The sequence below is a fragment of the Homo sapiens genome, chromosome 6 (genome assembly GCF_000001405.40).
Source record: "Homo sapiens chromosome 6, GRCh38.p14 Primary Assembly".
Lineage (NCBI taxonomy): Eukaryota > Metazoa > Chordata > Mammalia > Primates > Hominidae > Homo > Homo sapiens.
In genome coordinates this window covers 35,612,038-35,633,826 of record NC_000006.12, presented here as the reverse complement: position 1 = coordinate 35,633,826, position 21,789 = coordinate 35,612,038, and the positions used below count along the sequence as shown (strand labels likewise).

The following is a 21,789-nucleotide window of genomic DNA, read 5'->3' as shown; positions in this document are numbered from 1 at the left end:
TCTTACCTGCTTCTGTAAAAAGAAGTCTGTGGAGAGCTTATGTGATTCCATTCTTGTTCCTTCTGTAAAGAATGCGGGAACAAAAACCATAAAAGACTAATACCAACACAAAGAGACCCTTAGAGGCCTCCTTAAGATGGTAATTGGAAATACTAGGATAGAGCAATATACCTCTGGTAAAACATCTATAACATAACGTATTTAGTTGCCTACAAAACAAGAAACATTGGTTAGGCAGTTTATAGTTTTGTGGGGTTTTTTTTTTCCTTTTTTTTTTTTTTTTTGAGATGGAATCTCACTCTGTAGCCCAAGCTGAAGTGCAGTGGCGTGATCTTGGCTCACTGCAACGTCTGCCTCTGGGGCTCAAGTGATTCTCGTGCCTCAGCCTCCCCAGTATCTGGGACTTCAGGCGCGCCCCACCACGCTTGGCTAATTTTTTGTGTTTTAGTAGAGACAGGGTTTCACCATGTTGCCCAGGGTGGTCTCGAACTTTTGAGCTCAGGTGATCCGCCTGCCTTATCCTCCCAAAGTGCTGGGATTACAGGCATGAGCCACTGTGCCCAGACTATAGTTTTATACTTATATTTTATAGCATTAGGTAGTTTATCAAAATGAAGAAAATAATATAAATGGACAGTAGTATAAATATTATTCATTGAACTCCATTGATCCCTTATATTGTACCTCTCCCAAGGGAATAAATAGAAATATTTCAATGGAAAGTCATCCTAATTTGGGGATTCTAGTATGACTTCAGTATTTAACATAGAACTATAAGAGCCTATCTGTAAAAATCCCATTGAAAAGATAAACATATCATAAAATACACAAATTCAAGCTATACCTACACTTGCTTTGTATATGTCTTTTGCTTTGTGTATGTCTGTTGCTTTTATCATACCATCTTTTTCTCTTTTCTTTTTTTTTTTTTCTTTCTGAGACGGAGTTTTACTCTTGTTGCCCAAGCTGGAGTGCAATGGCATGATCTCAGCTCACTGTGACCTCCACCTCCCAGGTTCAAGCAATTCTCCTGCCTCAGCCTCCCAAGTAGCTGGGATTACAGGCATGCGCCACCACACCTGGCTAATTTTGTATTTTTAGTAGAGACGGACTTTCACCATGTTGGCCAGGCTGGTTTTGAACTCCTGACCTCAGGTGATCCACCCGTTTTGGCCTCCCAACGTGCTGGGATTACAGGCATGAGCTACCGCGCCTGGCTAGCCGTACCATCTTTTAAACTCTATTCTTTACTTTCTTCATCTAAGGTTATGATAATCATATATACTACATATATTATATATGATTATATAAGTATATATTATTATGTTGAGGATTAAGATAATGTACACCATCGCCTAGCATTCAGCCTAACAAATGGTAAGCACTCAGATGTTGATTATTATTGTGGCAGTGTTAGGATTTTTCACTGGTTTTATAATGGAATGGTAAAAGCTGTGTTATAACATCTTGGGTCCTGACTTCATCTGTTGACTATGCATGCGTACAAACCTTGGAAACAATGCTCAGCCATCTTGCTTAGCCCCAGGAAGTTGGGAAAGACAGAATCAATCTAAGGGAACTGATTATTACTACTGTGGAATATGTTACAGAAATTAGAGTGAAGAGGTGATGATTTCTCTTACTAGGTTTTCTTAACTAAATATTAGAGGTTGTGAATTATTAGAACTGGTCATAGCCCATTTAAAAAGAAGCTGAATTAAGAACAAGGATTTTCATACATACTTCTATAATAGGGGTTCTGTTCTTTTACCCTACTCCCCCCAGCAAATATATTTTCACTAAAATGGAAGAGGGCAATAGATTTGGAGGATGAAAGAATTATTTCTACCCTTTTTTTTTTTTTTTTTTTTTGAGACAGAGTCTTGCTGTGTCGCCCAGGCTGGAGTGCAGTGGCGTGATCTCCGCTCATTGCAACCTCCGCCTCCCGGATTCAAGCGATTCTCTTGCCTCAGCCTCCTGAGTAGCTGGGACTACAGGTGCATACTACCATGCCTGGCTAATTTTTGTATTTTTAGTAGAGATGGGGTTTCACCATGTTGGCCAGGATGGTCTTGATCTCCTGACCTCGTGATCCACCCACCTCGGCCTCCCAAAGTGCTGAGATTACAGGCGTGAGCCACCACACCCAGCCTCAATCTTACTATTTTTTGGATTCTTTGTACAATTAGTATAATTTAGGTGACAATCATATTAATATTTGTGTCGAAGCCACTTTGGTTTTTTTATTGAGGTATTATTTACGTATAATAAAGTTTACCCTTTTAAGTATATAGTTTGATGAATTTTGATAATATTTCTGTAACTACCACCACAATCAAAATATAAAACAATTTCTTTACCCTAAAAAGTATTTTTATGTCCTTTTGCAGTCACTTTCCTTCCTGGACCCTGAGCCCCAGGCAGTCACTAACTTGGTTTCTGTTACTATAATTTTGCCTTTTGTAGAATTTCATATAAACAGAATCTTGTATTATCTTTGGTGTTGACTTCTTTCACTTAACATAATGACTTTGGGATTCATGCATGTTGAATTCCTGAGAAGTATTCCACAATTTGGGAATGCCACAGTTTGTTCACCCATTCAAAAATAGGACATTTGGTTGTTTGCAATTTGGGGCTATTCAGTTTTTCATATCCTTATTAACACGTAGTATTGTCGATCTTTTTAACTTTAGCCATTCTAGTAAGTATGAAGTAGTATCTCACCTTGGTTTTTGTTTGCATTTCCCTGATGACTAGTGATGATTGAGGGTCTCTCTTCTTGTGCCTAGTGGGCATTTGTATGTTTTCTTTTGTAAAGTGTCTGTTCAGATCTTCTGCCCATTTTAAAACATCAGTTGTTTGTCTTACTGAGTTGTACTTAAAAGGACAAGCACTTTGGCAAATATGATCTCCCAGTCTATCTTGCCTTTTTATTTTCTTAATTGGTCTTCGGAAAAGTAAAAGTTTTTACTTCTGATTAAGTCAGCTTTATCAGTTTTTTCTTTTATGGTTTGGTTACCTACTGTTATTAACCATTTTTGGTTTGATGTGATTTTTTGTTTACTATATTACAGACTAAGGTACAGAGAAGCTCGGTAAATTGCCCAAGGCTATACAGTAAGTGGCAGAGCCAGGATTCAAATCCAGGTAGTCTTTCTTAAGTTATGTTAGATCTTAAGGTTTAAAACATAGCCCAAACCAGGTACAGAAATGAAGTAGGTCCTGGTTAGCAGTATTTATCGAGTGCCTGATATACAGTAGAAATTTCTCTTTTTTTTTGAGACGGAGTCTCGCTCTCACTCAGGCTGGAGTGCAGTGGCACGATCTCGGCTCACTGCAACCTCTGCCTCCCGGGTTCAAGTGATTCTCCTGCCTCAGCCTCCTGAGTAGCTGGGATTACAGGCATGCACCACCATGCCTGGCTAATTTTTATATTTTTAGTAGAGACGGGGTTTCACCATGTTGGCGAGGATGGTCTCAATCTCCAGACCTCGTGATCCGCCTGCCTTGGCCCCCAAAGTGCTGGTATTACAGGGGTGAGCCACTGCACCCAGCCACAGTAGACATTTCTTACCAGTAATGATATGTCATAGTAAGGTTTATCAAAAGCACTGGCGCTTGTGTTCGCTCGCTCTCTCTCTCTCTCTCTCTCTTTCTTCCTCCTCCTCCCTCTTTCTCTCTCTCTTTCTCTCCAGAGACTTGCTCTGTTATTGGGGCTGGAATGCAATGGCACCATCATAACTCACTACAGCATTGAACTCCTAGGCTTCAGTGATCCTCCTGCCTCAGCCTCCCAGAGTGCTGGGATTACAAGCATGAGTCACTGCACTCAGCCAATATATTCTTAGTATCTGTTTACTTTTTTTTACATGCAGTTTAGGAGCATTCAGGAGATTTTTAAGGAAAGCTTTTAGGCTAAAATATTTAATTTTTTTAATTGTCCCCAAAAGTGTGAGCCAGAAAGACAGCAAACTTTAAGAAAGTACTTACTTTGGTTTTTCCTGGTACTTTGCGATAGAGGAGGAATGCTTCCAATTTCCACTGCTGAGTGGATATCAGGGAGGAGCTGATTTAGGCTGTGGAAAGCTGAGCAAATTTCTCACTCCATTTAAATTCGATATTACATCATGCCTTTGTTCTCTTTTTGAGTACAGTGTTGTGGTGCTATAGTTCTTTGCAAAGAGTAATTAAAACATGACCCCTACCTTCAAGTATGTAACAATTTAGTCTGGCAGAGTTGATCCTTAAGGCTGTCCCAGGACAGATAATGCTACCATATCTGTTTTCTTTCCCTGTTTGTTTGTTTGTTTGTTTTAATTATAAGCCATGAAGGTGGGGAGGGATTATCCTGTGATTAGTTCTCTTAGTAGTTAGAGAAATGACAAAAATACAATGTAACATAAGATATGAACACTTTAAAAGAGTCTTAAACATAAATTACTGTAATCTCAGCAGTTTGGGAGGCCAAGGCAGGAGGATCAGTTGAACCCAAGGGTTCAAGACCAGCCTGGACAACATGGTGAAACCCCATCTCTACAAAAAATACAAAAATTAGCCAGGCGTGGTGGTGCACGCCTATAGTCCCAGCTTTCTCAGGAGGCTGAGATGGGAGGATCACTGGAGCCCAGGAGGTCCAGGCTGCAGTGAGCTATGATCACATGCCTTCACTCCAGCCTGGGTGACAGAGCGAGACACTGACTCAAAACAAAATACATAAATTAATTTGTTTAATTCATGATTAGTTACTATTGGTAGGGAGTAGGGATGATTATTAGAGCCCTTTTATAGCTATTTTAAAATAAAACTAGGCCAGGCGTGGTGGCTCATGCCTGTAATCCCGGCACTTTGGGAGGCCGAGGCGGGCAGATCACCTGAGTTTAGAAGTTCAAGACCAGCCTGGCCAACATAGTGAAACCCTGTCTCTACTACAAATACAAAAATTAGCTGGTGTGGTGGCACATGCCTATAATCCCAGCTACTGGGGAGGCTGAGGCAGGAGAATCACTTGAGCCTGGGAGTGGAGGTTGCAGTAAGCCGAGATTGTGCCATTGCACTCCAGCCTGGGCGACAGAGCAAGATTCCATCTCAAAAAAACAAAAACAAAAAAACCTAAAATATATGAGGAAAAGGTATACAGGAAAAATAATTTGCTTTATTTAGTATAAAAAGAAGAAAGGATTTCTGTATTATCTGTTATATGAGGTTTTTCTTATTTTTAACATAAAAATTAGCAGAATATGCAAGTAGTTAAAATAGAGATCAGAAATTGGTACTGAGTCCTAGGAATCCCTCAAGGAAGGTGAAGCAGGAATGAATCAGATGCATTTTTATTACCTGAAGCTTATTAGTGATTAACCTTGTTTGTCAGCTTTTATATTTTGAAAGGAAATCTTTTACAGTTAAAATATTTACCTTTCTTGTTCTTTTCTACTCCCATATGAAAAAGTAATTTTTTTTCTGTATGATATGGTGTAGCTTTCATCCTATAGTGTGTTCAAGATGCTCATATTCAAATGTAAATGTACATTTAAAAGGTAGTGATTTTTCAACAAGGGTGCCAAGACCATTCAGTGGGAGAAAGAACAGTCTTTTCAACAAATGGTGTTGGAAAAGCTAGATATCCACATGTAAAAGAATGAAATTGGGTCCTTATCTTACACCATCTGCAAAAATTAACTCAAAATGGATCAAAGACCTAAATGCAAGATCTAAACCTTGCATTAGAAACCTTCCCATAAGAATATGGAGGAAGGCCGGGCACAGTGGCTCACACCTGTAATGCCAGCACTTTGGGAGGCCGAGGCGGGCGGATCACCTGAGGTTAGGAATTCAAGACCAGCCCTGACCAATATGGTGAAACCCCGTCTCTACTAAAAAAAAAAAAAAAAAAAAAAATTAGCTGGGCATGGTGGCGCATGCCTATAATCCCAGCTACTTGGGAGGTGGAGGCAGGAGAATCGCTTGAACCCGGGAGGCAGAAGTTGCAGTGAGCCAAGATCACACCATTGCACTCCAGCCTAGGCAACAAGAACGAAACTATGTCTCAAAAAAAAGAAAAAAGAAAAGATAAAGAATATGGAGGAAAGGCTTCATGACATTGGATTTTGCAGTGGTTTCTTGGCATGACATCAAAAGTACAGGCAACAAAAGTAAAACAATTAAACATAAATTACTGTACATCATAAATTAAACATAAATTAGAATACATCAAAATTAAAAACTTTTGTGCATCAAACAGTAACAGAATGAAAGGCAGCCTATGGAATGGGAGAAAAATGTTTGCAAATCTTATATCTGATAAGGGATTAATACCCAGAATACACAAACAACTCCTATAACTCAACAAAAACAACAAAATAGCCCAATTTAAAAATGGGTAAAGGACCAGTTGCAGTGGCCATACCTGTAATCCCAGCATTTTGGGAGACCTAGGTGGGAGGGTCACTTAGACGCCAGGAGTTCAAGACCAGTCTGGGCAACATAGCGATACCCTGTCTCTAAAAACTTTTTAAAAACTGGGCAAAGGGCTTGAAATTTCTCCAAAGAAGATATAAAAATGGACAACAAGCATATGAAAAGATGTTCAACATCACTAATCATTAGGGAAATGCAAGTCAAAACCACAGTGAAGTATTACCCTCATACCGGTTAGAATGGGTACTGTTAAAAAAAGAGAAAACAACAAGTGTTGATGAGGATGTAGAGAAATTGGAACCCTTATGCGCTGTTGGTGGGAATGTAAAATAGTGCAGCTGCTGTGGAAAACGGTATGGAAGTTCCTCAAAAAATTAAAAATAGAGTTACCATGTTGATCTAGCAGTTCTACTTGTGGGCATATAACCAACAGAATTGAAAGCAGGGTCTTGAAGAGATATTTGTACACTCATGTTTGTAGCAGCATTATTAACAGCAACCAAAAGGTGGAAGCAACTCAAGTGTCCTTCAATAGATGAATAGATAAACAAAATGTGATATAAACGTACAGTGGAATATTTACGTTTTAAAGAAAAATTCTGGCAGATGCTACAACATGGACGAACCTTGAGGGCATTATACTAAGTGAAGTAATCCAGTGACAAAAAGAAAAGTACTGTCTGATTCCACTTATATGAGTTATCTATCCAGAGTAGTCAAATTCATAAAAACAAAGTAGAATAGAAGTTGCCAAAGATTAGGGAAGGAGGAAATGCTTAATGGGTATAAAATTTTAGTTTTGCAAGATGAAAAAGTTCTGGAGATTGGTTGCACAACAATGTGAATATACTTAAAAATAGTGAACTGTGCACTTTAAAATAGCTAAGATGGTAAATGCTTTTTTTTATCCCCCCACAATTAAGCGTTTTTTTTAAAACTCAAGGAGAAAACATTATGTAGTCAGAATGTTCTGAAGTGGTCACTATAGTCTTTACTATAAATGAAACTGTTAAGTGATTAAAATGTTGTATCTTAAAATATGTTATATAATTTTTTTAAACCAGAAAAAAGTGTAACATTACAGAAGGAAGAAAAAGTATAATGCATTGCTTTTATACTGGGCTTTGTATGCTTTTAAACTTTTTCACCTGCCTATAGTTACATACGTATAAAAAGCATTTAAATTTAGTAATAGCTATATTATACATTTGTATACATATATATTCTTGTTTTATATTTTATTACAAATGGAATAAGACTCCTGAAATTGATAAATTGTGTATAAGCTAGTAAAACTGAAGTCCAGATCAAGTGTAAGAATAAATTGACGTGGCCAGGCACGGTGGCTCACGCCTGTAATCCCAGCACTTTGGGAGGCTGAGGCAGGCGGATCACGAGGTCAGGAGATCGAGACCATCCTGGCTAACACGATGAAACTCCATCTCTACTAAAAATACAAAAAATTAGCCAGGAGTGGTGGCTAGCGCCTGTAGTCCCAGCTACTCGGGAGGCTGAGGCAGGAGAATGGCGTGAACCCGGGAGGCGGAGCTTGCGGTGAGCAGAGATAGCGCCACTGCACCCCAGCCTGGGCGACAGAGCGAGACTCCATCTCAAAAATAAATAAATAAATAAATAAATAAATTGACATTATGTATTCTTGGTGTGTTTTTTTTTGAGACGGAGTCTTGCTCTGTCGCCCAGGCTGGAGTGCAGTGGCGCAATCTCGGCTCACTGAAAGCTCCGCCTCCCGGGTTCACGCCATTCTCCTGCCTCAGCCTCCCGAGTAGCTGGGACTACAGGCACTCACCACCACGCCCGGCTAATTTTTTGTATTTTTAGTAGAGACGGGATTTCACCGTGTTAGCCAGGATGGTCTCAATCCTCTGACCTCGTGATCTGCCCACCTCATCCTCCCAAAGTGCTGAGATTACAGGCGTGAGCCACTGCACCGGCCTATTCTTGGTGTATGTTACCTATGACTGAGATCCTGAAGATGAAGAATCTTTAAAATGTTTATGCTTTGGGGGTTGGGCATGGTGACTCACACCTGTAATCCCAGCACTTCGGGAGGCCGAGGTGGGCAGACCACTTGAGGTCAGGAGTTTGAGACCAGCCTGACCAACGTGGTGAAACCCTGTCTCTACCAAAAAATACAAAAATTACCTAAGCGTAGTGGCACGTGCCTGTAATCCCAGCTACTTGGGAGTCTGAGGCACGAGAATTGCTTGAACCCAGGAGGCAGAGGTTGCAATGAGCCAAGATCGTGCCACTGCACTCCAGCCTGGGCAACAAAGTGAGACCGTGTCTCAAAAAGAAGAAAATATTTATGTTTTTGGTCCAGTAATTCTACATCTAGGAATTTAACCTAAGGAAATGTGTAGAAGCTTGCTTAACCCTCTCCAGACTAATTGATGCTCTCCATTCTGTTTGCATATATACTGAATGATACAACTGGTTTCTTGTTCTGTGGTGTGGTCTCACACATTGCTCCCGTCAGTGAGTGGGCCTTGTCAGTGCCCTGCAGCCACAGACCACTAGGAACACACCTATAGTTGAACACGTTGGTTCATTACTTGTGAGGGAGGATGCACACCATGCGAACTGTGGAGTATCTCAGTAAGAGTGTTAGGAGGAATATTTTATAGGACTTGTGCTTGTATTAGGTGATTTTGGGGAGTTTAAGAAAGCAGAGCTTTCTCGATTGGATGCTGTTAGGATGTGGGGTGATTGATGTTTGGGTATCTTAATAAATCTTATTAGGACGTGGGCCAACTAGAGTAGAGTGAGACCAAAGCTAGAACTGGTAGAGAAGCAGCAGTCACTCATATTAGCCAGGAGAGGGGGATGTTTGGTATTTTGTGAAAATGCTCAGTGACCTTGTTTTTTTCCTCTGGGCTTAGACAAAAAAAAAATTTTTTTTCTTTTTTGAAATGGAGCTGGGGTGCAGTGGCGTGATCTCAGCTCACTGCAACCTCCAGCTCCCAGGTTCAAGCAATTCTTCTGCCTCAGCCTCCCAAGTAGCTGGGATTACAGGCGTGAGCCACCGTGCCCGGCCAGACAAAATTTTGAAGTATTTTTGTTTTGTCTCACTTGAACACAGTCTCAGAGTGACCTTGTCTCATGTTGATATTTTGCGAGATTGTTTATGTCCCACAGGAGAATAATATGGCCTCCCTATGATCCCTAGGCCAGCTTCAAACAGCACTGAGGTCCAGCTGTAAGTGTTCAAGCAGTTTCCAGACGTTGGGGAGGCTTTTTCTTTCTCAAACTCTTGTTAAGAATCAGTTGAAGCCAGGTGCCTGTAGTCTCAGCCACTCAGAAGCTGAGGTGGGAGGATCACTTGAGCCAGGAGTTTGAGTCCAGCCTGAGCAACATAGCAAGACCCTGTCTCTTAAAAAGGAAAAAAACTGGGCTGATGCAATGGCTCACACCTGTAATCCCAGCACTCTGGAAAGCTGAAGCAGAAGTATCACTTGAGGCTAGGAGTTCAAGACCGACCTGGGCAATGTAGCAAGACTCCATATCTACAGAAAATCATGGTGGTATTCACCTGTAGTCCTAGCTACTAGGGAGGCAGAGGCAGGAGATTCTCTTGAGCCCAGGAGCTCAAGACCAGCCTGGGCAACATGGTGAGACTGTCTACAAAAAAAAAAAAAAGAAGAAGAAAAGAAAATTAGCCCAATGTGGTGGTACATGTCTGTGGTCCCAGCTACTTGGGAGGCTAAGGTGGGAGGACCGCTTGAGCCTGGGAGGTTGAGGCTGCAGTAAGCTATACTCACATCATTGCACTCCAGTCTGTGTGACAGAGCAAGACCCTGTCTCTTAAAAAAAAAAAAAGTGATGTAGCCATTTCGTAAAGACAGTTGGGCAATAACTATCAAATTTAAAATGCATATCACCTTTGCACTTCCAGGAATTTACATTCCAAATATACTTATGCAAAGTAGGCAAACATACATGGACAAGTAGTCTCATTAGATTACTGTTGGTAATATATGCATCAATAGAAGATTGTAGTATTATACACCCATTAAGAATGAGGTAGGTCTATTTGCATTTATTATGATGATGATGTCTTTCCTTTATCAAATACATATTATGTGCCGGGCACCGTGCCATGCATTTGATGTGTTTTATCTAATAACTCTTTATTTATTTATTTATTTTTGAGACGGAGTCTCGCTCTTTCGCCCAGGCTGGAGTGCAGTGGCGCTATCTCGGCTCACCGAAAGCTCCTCCTTCTGGGTTCACGCCATTCTCCTGCCTCAGCCTCCGGAGTAGCTGGGACTACAGGCGCTAGCCACCACGCCTGGCTAATTTTTTGTATTTTTAGTGGAGATGGGGTTTCACCGTGTGAGCCAGGATGGTTTCGATCTCCTGACTTTGTGATCCGCCCGCCTCAGCCTCCCAAAGTGCTGGGATTACAGGCGTGAGCCACCACGCCCGGCCTTATCTAATAATTCTTAAAACAACTATTAATATATGGCAAGTACTGTTATTATTTACATTTTGCAGGTGAGGAGACTAAGCACAGAGATTAAATAACTTGCACAAGTTTACACAGATAGTAAAGGGCAAACTTGGTATTCAAATCCAGGTATTCTGAAGTTAGAGTATGCTGCATTTTTGACCTCTAAAATGTACATCCTCCTTTCTACTGATGGAGAAAGAGGATGAAGATATATAATAAATGAAAAAGTAGTTTAGAACTGAATGTCTAGTTTGCTGTCATTTGTATTTTAAATTTTTTTAAAAAGTGACAGCACACAGTAGGATACCAAAGAAACGTAACAGTTACTTATAAGGAGCAGATGGATGGCCTTTCAGCTTTCACTTTCCATCTCTTTCATGGGTGTTTTAATAATAGGCATGTATTACTTGATTTTTTTTTTTTTTTAAGAGACAGGGTCTCGCTCTGTCACCTAGTCTGGAGTGCAGTGACATAATCATTGCTCACTGTAGCCTCTTACTCCTAGGCTCAAGCTCTTCTCCTGTCTTAACCTCCAAAGTAGCTGGAGCTACAAGCATATGCCACCATGCCGCACTAATTTTTTAAATTTTTGTAGAGATGGAGTTTCACTATGTTGCCCTGGCCGGTCTTAAAACTCTTGGGCTCAAGTGGATGCTCCTGCTTTGGCCTTCCAAAATGCTGAGATGAGAGGTATGAGCCACTATTCCTGGCCACTTACATATATTTTTAACTGAAATAAATGTAGCTGACATTTTGAAAAGTTGTAATATTTAATGAAGATTAAGCTAAAGTCATGAATAAAAAATGGTTTATCTATCCCTGCTTACATACTGTTATGTAGGGTTTCCCTTGTCCTAATATCCTACCACCAGCTCACTTCAAATTCACTTCCTCTGGGGTTCATCTCTTATCTGATCCTACTTTTGAATACTTACATTTTTGTTTTTGTTTTTTGAGACAGGACAGGGTCTCCACTCTGCTGCCCAGGCTGGAGTGCAGTGGCATGATCTCAGCTCACTGCAGCCTTGACCTCCTGGACTCAAGTAGTCCTCTCTCCTCAGCCTGCTGAGTAGCTGGCAAGCACCACCACGCCTGGCTCATTTTTTAAATATATTTTTTTGTGGAGATGGGGTTTCACCATGTTGCCTGGGCTGGTCTCAAACTCCTAAGCTCAAGGGATCTGCCCGCCTTGGCCTCCCAAAGTGCTGGGATTACAGCTGGGATTACAGGCGCGAGCCAACGTGCCCAGCCCCCAGATACTTAATATTTCTGATTGACAGAGTACCTCATTTGTCATTTAGCCTTTTTTTTTTTTTTTTTGGAGACAGAGTCTTGCTGTGTCGCCCAGGCTGGAGTGCAGTGGCATGATCTCTACTCACTGCAACCTCCGCCTCCCAGGTTCAAGCAATTCTCCTGCCTCAGCCTCCTAAGTAGCTGGGATTACAGGCACGCACTACCATGCCTGGCTAATTTTTGTATTTTTAGTAGAGACGGGGTTTCACCATGTTGGCCAGGCTTGAATTCCTGGCCTCAAGTGATCCGCCTGTCTTGGCCTCCCAAAGTTCTGGGATTACAGGCGTGAGCCACCATGCCCCACCAAAATGTAATTTAGCCTTTTAAATGGCCTAAATTTTCTATTGTTTCCGAAAGGACTTGATACTGCTTACAGTAAGATAATGATGCACATCATAGGAACTATAAACATTGAGATTACAATTATATAGCCTAATATAGTTCTACAATTGAGCAGTAAATTTAACTTAGTTTCCTGGAAGTAGGCAAAAAATAAAATATTTTAAGTTCTGTAGTTGTGGTTTGACAAAAAGACACATATGTTTTTGTTTAAAGGAACATTTTTCTGATTCTAAATTTTGAGAAGAAATGTGTTTCATGGACCCTTTTATGCAATTTATCCTGTTCTGGTTACTTCTTGTTTTGTTGTTTTTTTTGTCTACCCAACTAAATTATAAGCTTCCTTAGGACACACTCTATTTTTCAATACTATTTTTGTTCTATCTCTGCCTAGAAAATTTGCGCTTATTATAGTTGAAATGATAAATTAGGCAACAATTGCAACATAGCCATATTTCATGGATAATGTTACCACCAGTTTTCAAAGACTTAATTTTTGAGTAGTTTAGGAATTTATATTACTTTCATCCCTTTCAGCAGGGAATCCTTTTTGAGACAGGGTCTCACTCTGTCACCCAGGCTAGAGTGCAGTGGCATAATCATGACTCACTGAAGCCTCAATCTCCTGGGCTCCCAGGCTTAAGCTGTCCTCCCACCACAGCCTCCGGAGTAGCTGGGACTACAGGTGTGCACCATACCCAGCTGTGTTCTTTGGTTCTTTGGGGTGTTTTTTTTTTTTTTTTAGAGATGAGGTCTTGCTGTGTTGCCCAGGCTGGTGTCAAATTCCTGGACTCAAGCAGTCCTCCCACCTCAGCCTCCCAAAGTGCTGGGCCGATCAACAGGGAATCTTTTGTGATAGCCTTCAAAAAAAATAATTTATTTATTTGTATGTAGCACTCTGTCATCTTGTAGCCCATACTTTCTAGCTGAGTATGTAGTATGAAAAACTGGAAATTAGAACTTTGGTTTTATGAAAGTTAAATCTTTTTAAATAGGGCTTATAGCTTTCAACTACCTTTTCCTTTCCCTTAGGCCAAGTCATCAAGGCATGGGACATTGGGGTGGCTACCATGAAGAAAGGAGAGATATGCCATTTACTGTGCAAACCAGAATATGCATATGGCTCGGCTGGCAGTCTCCCTAAAATTCCCTCGAATGCAACTCTCTTTTTTGAGGCAAGTATGTGTGTGATGTTGCCTTGTCAGCATCTGCTCTACAATAGGAATGGCTTTGAAGCAACAGGCAGTGGGAAAAGGAGCTAAGCTTGCTATAGAGAATCAGATCCAACTTACTTATTTTGGAGCATGGCTTCTTGAATTGTTTCCCACAAACCCAAGGGTGCGCGTGCCAGTGCTTTCTTAGAAACGTGTTTCTAGCACAAAAAGGTCATATCCAAATAAACAAAAGACGCTACACTTAGAAATAAAGATTCTGGTCCATGGTGTGAGTGTGACATACTCAAAATTGACCAGAGTACAGGATGGAAATGTTGGCGATAAATGTTGAAATATGCCTATGTCACGTTGCGGGGTATTTACATATTATAAAAATTTATGTGTCACAGATCTCACTTCTCTAGAAGCCGTTGGTGGTGATAAAACATTATTCATCCTATGTTGAATTACATATATTTGGCAAAACTTGATTTTTAAGAACCACCCCAGCTAGGTAAAATACACCTTTAATCAGTCGTAGGTCACATCCATGAGATTTATTCTTACATTTTGAGAAGGGAACTCCATAAACCCAGGATGGGAAAGTTGTGGCCTCAAACAAAATAGTTCTACACCAGCACCTTGTAGCTCTGGCTTTTTGCCCACAGGGTAGTTTTCCTAGTATTTCCTATCTTTGCACTGCAGTCCCTTAGGATATAGTTCTAGACATTAGCATTACATGAAATTCTTTCCAAGTATGGAAAAGTATAGTGGGTTTTTTTTTTTTTGCTACTTTTCCAATAATTAAGATGCATAAATGAATGTATATATTTTAAAACAGCTTTATTTTGTAAAATGAAATAATTGGTTGCCCTTGCCTTCACATATGTTCAGTTGGCTTTATTTGGTCTTTTCTCAGCTGAATTCCTTTTTTCTTTCTAGATTGAGCTCCTTGATTTCAAAGGAGAGGATTTATTTGAAGATGGAGGCATTATCCGGAGAACCAAACGGAAAGGAGAGGGATATTCAAATCCAAACGAAGGAGCAACAGTAGAAAGTAAGTATTAAAGTAAGAGGGAACTAGTCCTTAAAAGTTGGGCCATTTATGTGGACGAAATGGAGACTTAAAAAAAAATGTTTGTAGAAATGAATATATCGGCTGTGCGCAGTGACTCACGCCTGTAATCCCAGCACTTTGGGAGGTCGAGGCGGGTGGATTGCCTGAGCTCAGGAGTTTGAGACCAGCCTGGCCAGCATGGCGAAACCCCATCTCTACTAAAAATACAAAAAACTAGCCAGGTGTGGTGGTGCACGCCTGTATTCCCAGCTACTCGGGAGGCTGAGGCATGAGAATCACTTGAACCCGGGAGGCAGGGGTTGCAGTGAGTCGAGATGGTGCTACTGCACTCCAGCCTGGATGACAAAGCAAGACTCTGTCTCAAAAAAAAAGTATTGAATATATCTCAAAGATAGTCTTAGCTGGGCACAGTGGCTCATGCCTGTAATTCCAGCACTTTGGGAGGCCGAGGCAGGAGGATCTCTTGAGCTTAGGAATTCGAGACCAGCCAGGACAGCATAGTGAGGCCCCATCTCTACTAAAAAGCATCAAGAGAATTAGTCAAGTGTGGTGTCACGTCCCTGTAGTCCCAGCTACTTGGGAGGCTGAGGTGGAAGAATCACTTGAGCTCTGGAGATGAATGCTACAGCAGAGAGCCGTGATTGTGCCATTGTGCTTCAGCCTGGACAACAGCAAGATTCTGTCCAAAAAAAAAATAGTTTCAGGTTCAACATTTATTTAATAATTTTATTTAGTAAATATTAATTCAACATCTACGTGTCAGGCATGCTACCAGCCTCTACAAACTCAAAAATGAATACAAAGTAATTCCATCCACAAGAAATTCTCAATCTGTGGACTCTCTGGTGTGCCAACAACTATATTAGTTGCCTGATATGTTTGTTCATTTATTTCTCACAACCTTAAGAGGTAAAATTTCTTGTCCCCAGATGAGAAAAGTTAATTCAGAGATGTTAAATAAATTGCCCAGGGTTACAGAGTTACTAAACAGAGCAGTAGATTATAATCCCTTTTAGGACTCAAATACATCTCATCAGCTGTCATCAAGATTAAAAAATAGTTCATCATTTAGATCAATATTGGATAATAATGTTCATTCTATTCCATATCAGGAGACCTAGGTTCAAGTCCTGCTTTGGTGTTTATTGAGTAACCTGAAGCTATTCCGTTTCTTCATTTGCTAAGTGGGAGTAGGGGCAGCTCTGAGGACTGAGATAGCTAACTCTTCTTCCCTCCCGGAGCAAATTATATGTACCACTGTGTATACTACTTGTCACTTTACATTGTAATCAGTATTTGCCCATTTCTCCCAGTATACTTTGAGTGCTTGAGGACCAGAATCTTTCTTCATCCTTTTGTGTTCAGCATTTCCTGCAGTGCGTGACACACATTTGGTGTTCAGTAAAGGCTTTCTGCATGGATAAGTGCTTGAGAAGTGTCATTAGTGAGCTGAAATCCTTCAAAAGAGAGTTGTGAGAAAACAGAGAAATACTTCCATTAAGAACAAAAATCAAATCATTCAACAAGGATGGGAACATGAACTATTATTATAAAAGGTCTGTTTAAAATAATTATTTCAAAAGCCAGGTGTAATGGTGTGCACCTGTAGTCCCAGCTACTTGGGAGGCTGAGATAGGAGGATCACTAGAGGCCAGGAGTTCGAGGCTATAGCGTGCTATGGTTACACCAGTGAATAGCCAGTGCACTCTAGCCTAGGTACCATAGTGAGACCTTGTCTCCTTAAAAAAAAAAAGTAAAGAGTTCATTTAAACAGAAAACAAGAATAGCTGAGTTTCTTTCTTTTAAAGTATATACTATTTTCAACCCATATTTCATTTCTACGAGTCTGGCAAATCAGTTTAAATTCTGTTGTTTTGGGAAGCAGTTACAAATATTATTTATCCCAAATTGCCATTTGGGATAAGTTTTTGAATACATGAAGAGCTTTAAATGTAGAATACCAGGGAAATAGCTCCAGACTAGGAGTTGGGAGATAGGGTTCCAGCCTCAGCCCTGGCCTCAGGCTGGCTTCAACTAGACTTCACCTCTGGGCGTTAGCTTCCTTCCTATGCAGTGAGGCAAGCTTGAACCTCTTGATTTTTAAGGTCCTACTAGCCCTAAAACTCCATCATAGAATTCTAAATATTTACAAAAGTTGTAGGAATGATAGAAAATCATCTTCACTATATTAGTAAGCACTTAAGCTTGTCTATAATGTGTATTTTAAATTTTTCTTATGAAAAATTTCAAATGTATGTACAAAGGTAGAGGTTTACTCCTATGGATACAGGCACACCCTAGATTCAGTAATTTATAATATATATTTTTAAACTGGAGGGTTTTGTCAACTAAGAGGAAAAACTTTTCCCAATTATAGACAATATCACAAAATTACCGCTGTGGAGATGACTTTAGAGCAGACTAAATTAAATCAGATCTTGCTTTTGGTAATACTTGCGATGGGAGTCAATTTTTTTTTAACTTTTTGTTTTGAAATAATTTTAGAATTACAGAAAAGTTGCAAAACTAGTATAGCGCGTTCCCTTATATGCTTTACACAGCTTCCTCTAAATGTTAACATCTTACCTAATCACAGTACATTTATCAAAATCAGGAAGTTAACATTGATGTAGTACCAGTAACTGTTTTCCAGATCTTATTTGAATTTCACCAGTTACTACACTACTGTCGTTTTCTGGTCTAAGATCAAACTCAGGATCCAGCATTGTATTTACTTTTTTTTTTTTTTTTTTTTTTTTTGAGATGGAGTCTTGCTCTGTCATCCAGGCTAGAGTGTAGTGATGCTATCGCAGCTCACTGCAACCTCCACCTCCTGGGTTCAAGCAATTCTCCTGTCTCAGCCTCCCAAGTAGCTGGGACTATAGGCGCACGCCACCATGCCCGACTAATTTTTGTATTTTTATTAGAGACAGGGTTTCTAACATGTTGGTCAGGCTGGTCCTCAAGCTCCTGACCTTGGGTGATACACCCGCCTCAGCCTCCCAAAATGCTGGGATTACAGGCATGAGCCACCGCACCCAGCCTACTCTACTATTTTGAATACAACTGACCGTTTTGTAGAATATCCCTCAATTTGGGTTTCTGGGATGTTTTTAGATTGAGGTTATGCATTTTTTGAAAATACCACTGAAGTGATGTGCCTTTCATCATTATCAAGAGGTATATGATATTGATGTCTCATTACTGGTGATGTTACCTTCGAACACTGGGTTAAGGTGGGAAACCATGTTTCACTACTGCAACGTTACTATTTTCCCTTTGTAATTAAAAAGTATTAGGAGTGAAGTACTATCTTGTTTTGTATCACAACTTTACACACTCATTTTGACATTTGTTGATTTTTGCTTGCAACAGTTATTACTGTGGCATTTGACTAATGGTAAATTTTCTATTGCTGTTATTCTCTCTACATTAATTTGAATCCTACTGTATATTTATTCAGTTTATTTATATCATTATGGATCTGTGTATATTTATTCCATAAGTTATTATTCATTACTATTCTTATTTATTTTGTTGTTCACATTGTCCCAGATTTGACCATTGGAAACTCCTTTAAGTTTGTTTTTGTGTCCTTTCAATATTATCCCCATTTTTTTTAAGTGCTTCCTTATTTTCTGGTACCACAAGACACTCATGGCTCATCTTAAAATTTTCCTGCCCTAGACCTGGAACCAACCATTTCTCCAAAGAGCCCTGATTCCTTTTATTGGAGAAAGGCATTTAGAAACCAAGATCTGAGTGCTAGGTTTGCTCCTGCTATGGGATATCATCATTCCTAGACCCACTTAGCAGACAGAGAGATAGAGAATATATGGACCTCAACATACATACGTATACATCTATATGTATTTCTACATCAGCCTCTGTGTGTGTGTGTGTGTGTGTGTGTGTGTGTAGTTGTTGTTGTTGTTGTTGTTGTTGTTGTTTGCGACAGAGTCTCACTCTGTCGCCCAGGCTGGAGTACAGTGGTGCAATCTCAGCTCGCTGCAACTTCCGCCTCCCAGGTTCAAGTGGTTCTCCTGTCTCAGTCTCCGGAGTAGCTGGGATTTACAGGTGCCTGCCACCACGCCCAGCTATTTTTTGTATTTTCAGTAGAGATGGGATTTCACCATGTTGGCCAGGCTGGTCTCGAACTCCTGACCTCGTGATCTGCCTGCCTTGGCCTCCCAAAGTGCTGGAATTACAGGAATGAGCCACCGTGCCCGGCCAGCCTGTATGTATATGTTAAAAACCAGGGATACTCACTGGCAGTTGCAGTTCCAGTTCCAATCCAACACCACAAGTTTATTTGCCCTTTGCTCATTTGAAACTCCATTCTCCAGAAGTGAGAAAATGCTCTCATTCTCCACAGCATACTCATTGCTCCCATCCTAGTGTATATGTAAGATGGTTTTAGAATTGCTAACCTAGACCCCTGTGACAAACTGACTTTAGGAAATATTTGTTTATAGTACCTTTTGTCATCAGTCTTATAGTGTATATTCAAAACACTTGCTTTCCAACTGAGGTAACTTCTTTCTTCCTCACCCCCTTCAATGTGATTATGTTACTCAATTGTAACAAATTATTCATTTGTTACCCTGTATATTCCATTTTGGGTTCCTGCCATGCTCTGGTTAATTTTAATTATTCGTTTTATTTTGGATATGTGAAACATTACCATGATTTTAAACTATATAAAAAACGATATACTCAAAAGTGTCATTTCCCCCTCATCCTTATTAACCTGTTCCCACTTCCCCATTATTTCCACCCTATTCCAGTCTCATTAGTTATATCATTAGATCCTGGTTTTTCTTCCTGTATTTTATTACGTTTTATGTCATTTTATTTTTTTCTGTTTCTGTTAACAAAGGGAGCCAGTCGTGGTGGCTCACACCTGTAATCCCAGCACTTTGGGAGGCTGAGGCAGGAGGATGGCTTGACCTCAGGAATTTGAGACCATCCTGAGCAACATAGAGACCTTGTCTCTGCAAAAAGTTTAACATTTAGCCACATGTGATGGCACATGCCTCTAGTCCCAGCTACCCAGAAGACTGAGGTAGGAGGATCTCTTGAGCCCAGGAGTTCAAGGCTGCAGAGAGTTGTGATCATGCCACTGTACTCCAGCCTGGGCAACAGAACAAGGCTCTGTCTCAGTTTGAAAAAAAGAGAGAAAGAACAAAAGAAAGGGCAATGACTAATCTTTTGTCTTTCATCTTGTTAGAATGTACTTTCCTGGGAAATTTTAGATTAAATGGTTGATTTTACTTTTTCACTCAAAAGACCGTCTTGGTTTTCTGGAACAAATCTATTTCATAGAAATTTATTGTGTTATACTTTCATTTATCAAGGTTAAAATGTCCTGGTTTTTCCTCCTTTAAACAAGTTAGCTATCTGGGGGAGGAGAAAAAAGATTACCCTAAAGGTGGTCCTGTTCAAAACCAAGATCACCTTGTTCTTTTTGAAATCTTCTCAGTCTTTACTGGTTTGCCTTTTCTTTATAGCATCACCAAATACACTTAGATGTGAAACCAGATATAAAACCTGGAACTAGGCCAGGTGCGGTGGCTCACGCCTGTAATCCCAGCACTTTGGGAGGCCGAGGTGGGCAGATCACGTGAGGTCAGGAATTTGAGACCAGTCTGGCCAACATGGCAAAACCCCATCTCTACTAAAAATACAAACAATTAGCTGGGAGTGGTTGTGGGCACCTGTAATCCCAGCTACTTGGGAGGGTGAGGCAGGAGAATTGCTTGATCCTGGGAGGTGGAGGTTGCAGTGAGCAGAGATTACGCCACTACACTCCAGCCTGGGTGACAGAGGGAAACTCCGTCTCAAAAAAATAAATAAATAAAATAAATAAAACCTGGAACTAAAGCCGGCTATAGAGTGAACAAGAACAATAGACACTGATCACCCATTACAATATGTTGTTATAGATACGTGATTTACTAAATTTCTGTCATTTCTGTGTAAAGAGACAATGAAGTGGTATGGAGGAGGGGACAGATAGACTTTGTAAGTGATGGACTTGATTTTTGAATCTTGGAATTGCTACCTGATACTTTTATGACTTTAGACAAGTTACTTAACTACGTGGAGCATTCAGTTTTTTTAATCTGTCAAATGGGAATAGTTTTCACTCCCACAGGTTGTGTGACAGTGATAACGGTTTGGCTGTGTGCCTACCCAAATCTCGTCTTGAATTGTAGTTCCCACAATCCCCACGTGTCGTGGGAAGGACCCACTGGGAGGTAACTGAATCGGGGGGGCATTTTCTCCCATGCTGTTCTCATGATAGAGTGAGTTGTCACGAGATCTGATGGTTTTATAAGGGTCTGGCAGGGAAACCCTGCTGGCTCTTCCCTCTTCTGCCGCCATGTGAAGAAGGGTGTGTTTGCTTCCCCTTCTGCCATGATTGTAAGTTTCCTGAGGCTTCCCCAGCCATGTGAAACTGTAAGTCAATTAAACCTCTTTTCTTTATAAATTACCCAGTCTCAGGCAGTTCTTCATGGCAGCGTGAGAATGGACTAATACAAACAGTTACAAAGAAGAGTGTCAGACATTTAGTGGACACTTAATTTCTTCTACCCTATATATTGTGTTTCACTAATTTGTTTTGCTTCCTTTTAATTGATCTAAGGAAAAAGATCCTTGACTCCTCTTTTTCTTTTTCTGTTGCCCAAGCTGGAGTGCAGTGGGCCAGGCTGGAGTGCAATGGCGCATCTTAGCTCACTGCAACTGCTGCCTTCCGGGTTCAGGTGATTCTCCCACCTCATCCTCCCAAGTAGCTAGGACTACAGGCACGTGCCACCACACCCAGCTAATTTTTGTATTTTTAGCAAAGACGGGGTTTCGTCATGTTAGCCAGACTGGTCTTGAACTCCTGACCTCAGGTGATCCACCTACCTTGGCCTCCCTAAGTGCTGGGATTACAGGCGTGAGCCACTGTGCCTGGCTGACTCCTCTTTTTCTTATCTCCTACATGTCATCCATCAGCAAATCCTCTTGGCTCTACCTACCATGGTTAT

General features: G+C 40.6%; 1 protein-coding gene across 4 annotated transcripts in view; it reads left to right on the top strand.

Moving 5' to 3' along the window:
- The window catches only part of FKBP5 (FKBP prolyl isomerase 5), a 154,994-nt gene that overhangs the window by 94,757 nt on the left and 38,448 nt on the right, over positions 1-21,789 (top strand). For all 4 annotated transcript variants that reach the window (NM_001145775.3, NM_004117.4, NM_001145776.2 and 1 more), the window contains 2 exons: positions 13,553-13,695; positions 14,617-14,731. In NM_001145775.3, coding sequence (NP_001139247.1) covers positions 13,553-13,695; positions 14,617-14,731 — 258 coding nt within the window. The remainder of the gene's footprint in view (positions 1-13,552; positions 13,696-14,616; positions 14,732-21,789) is intronic.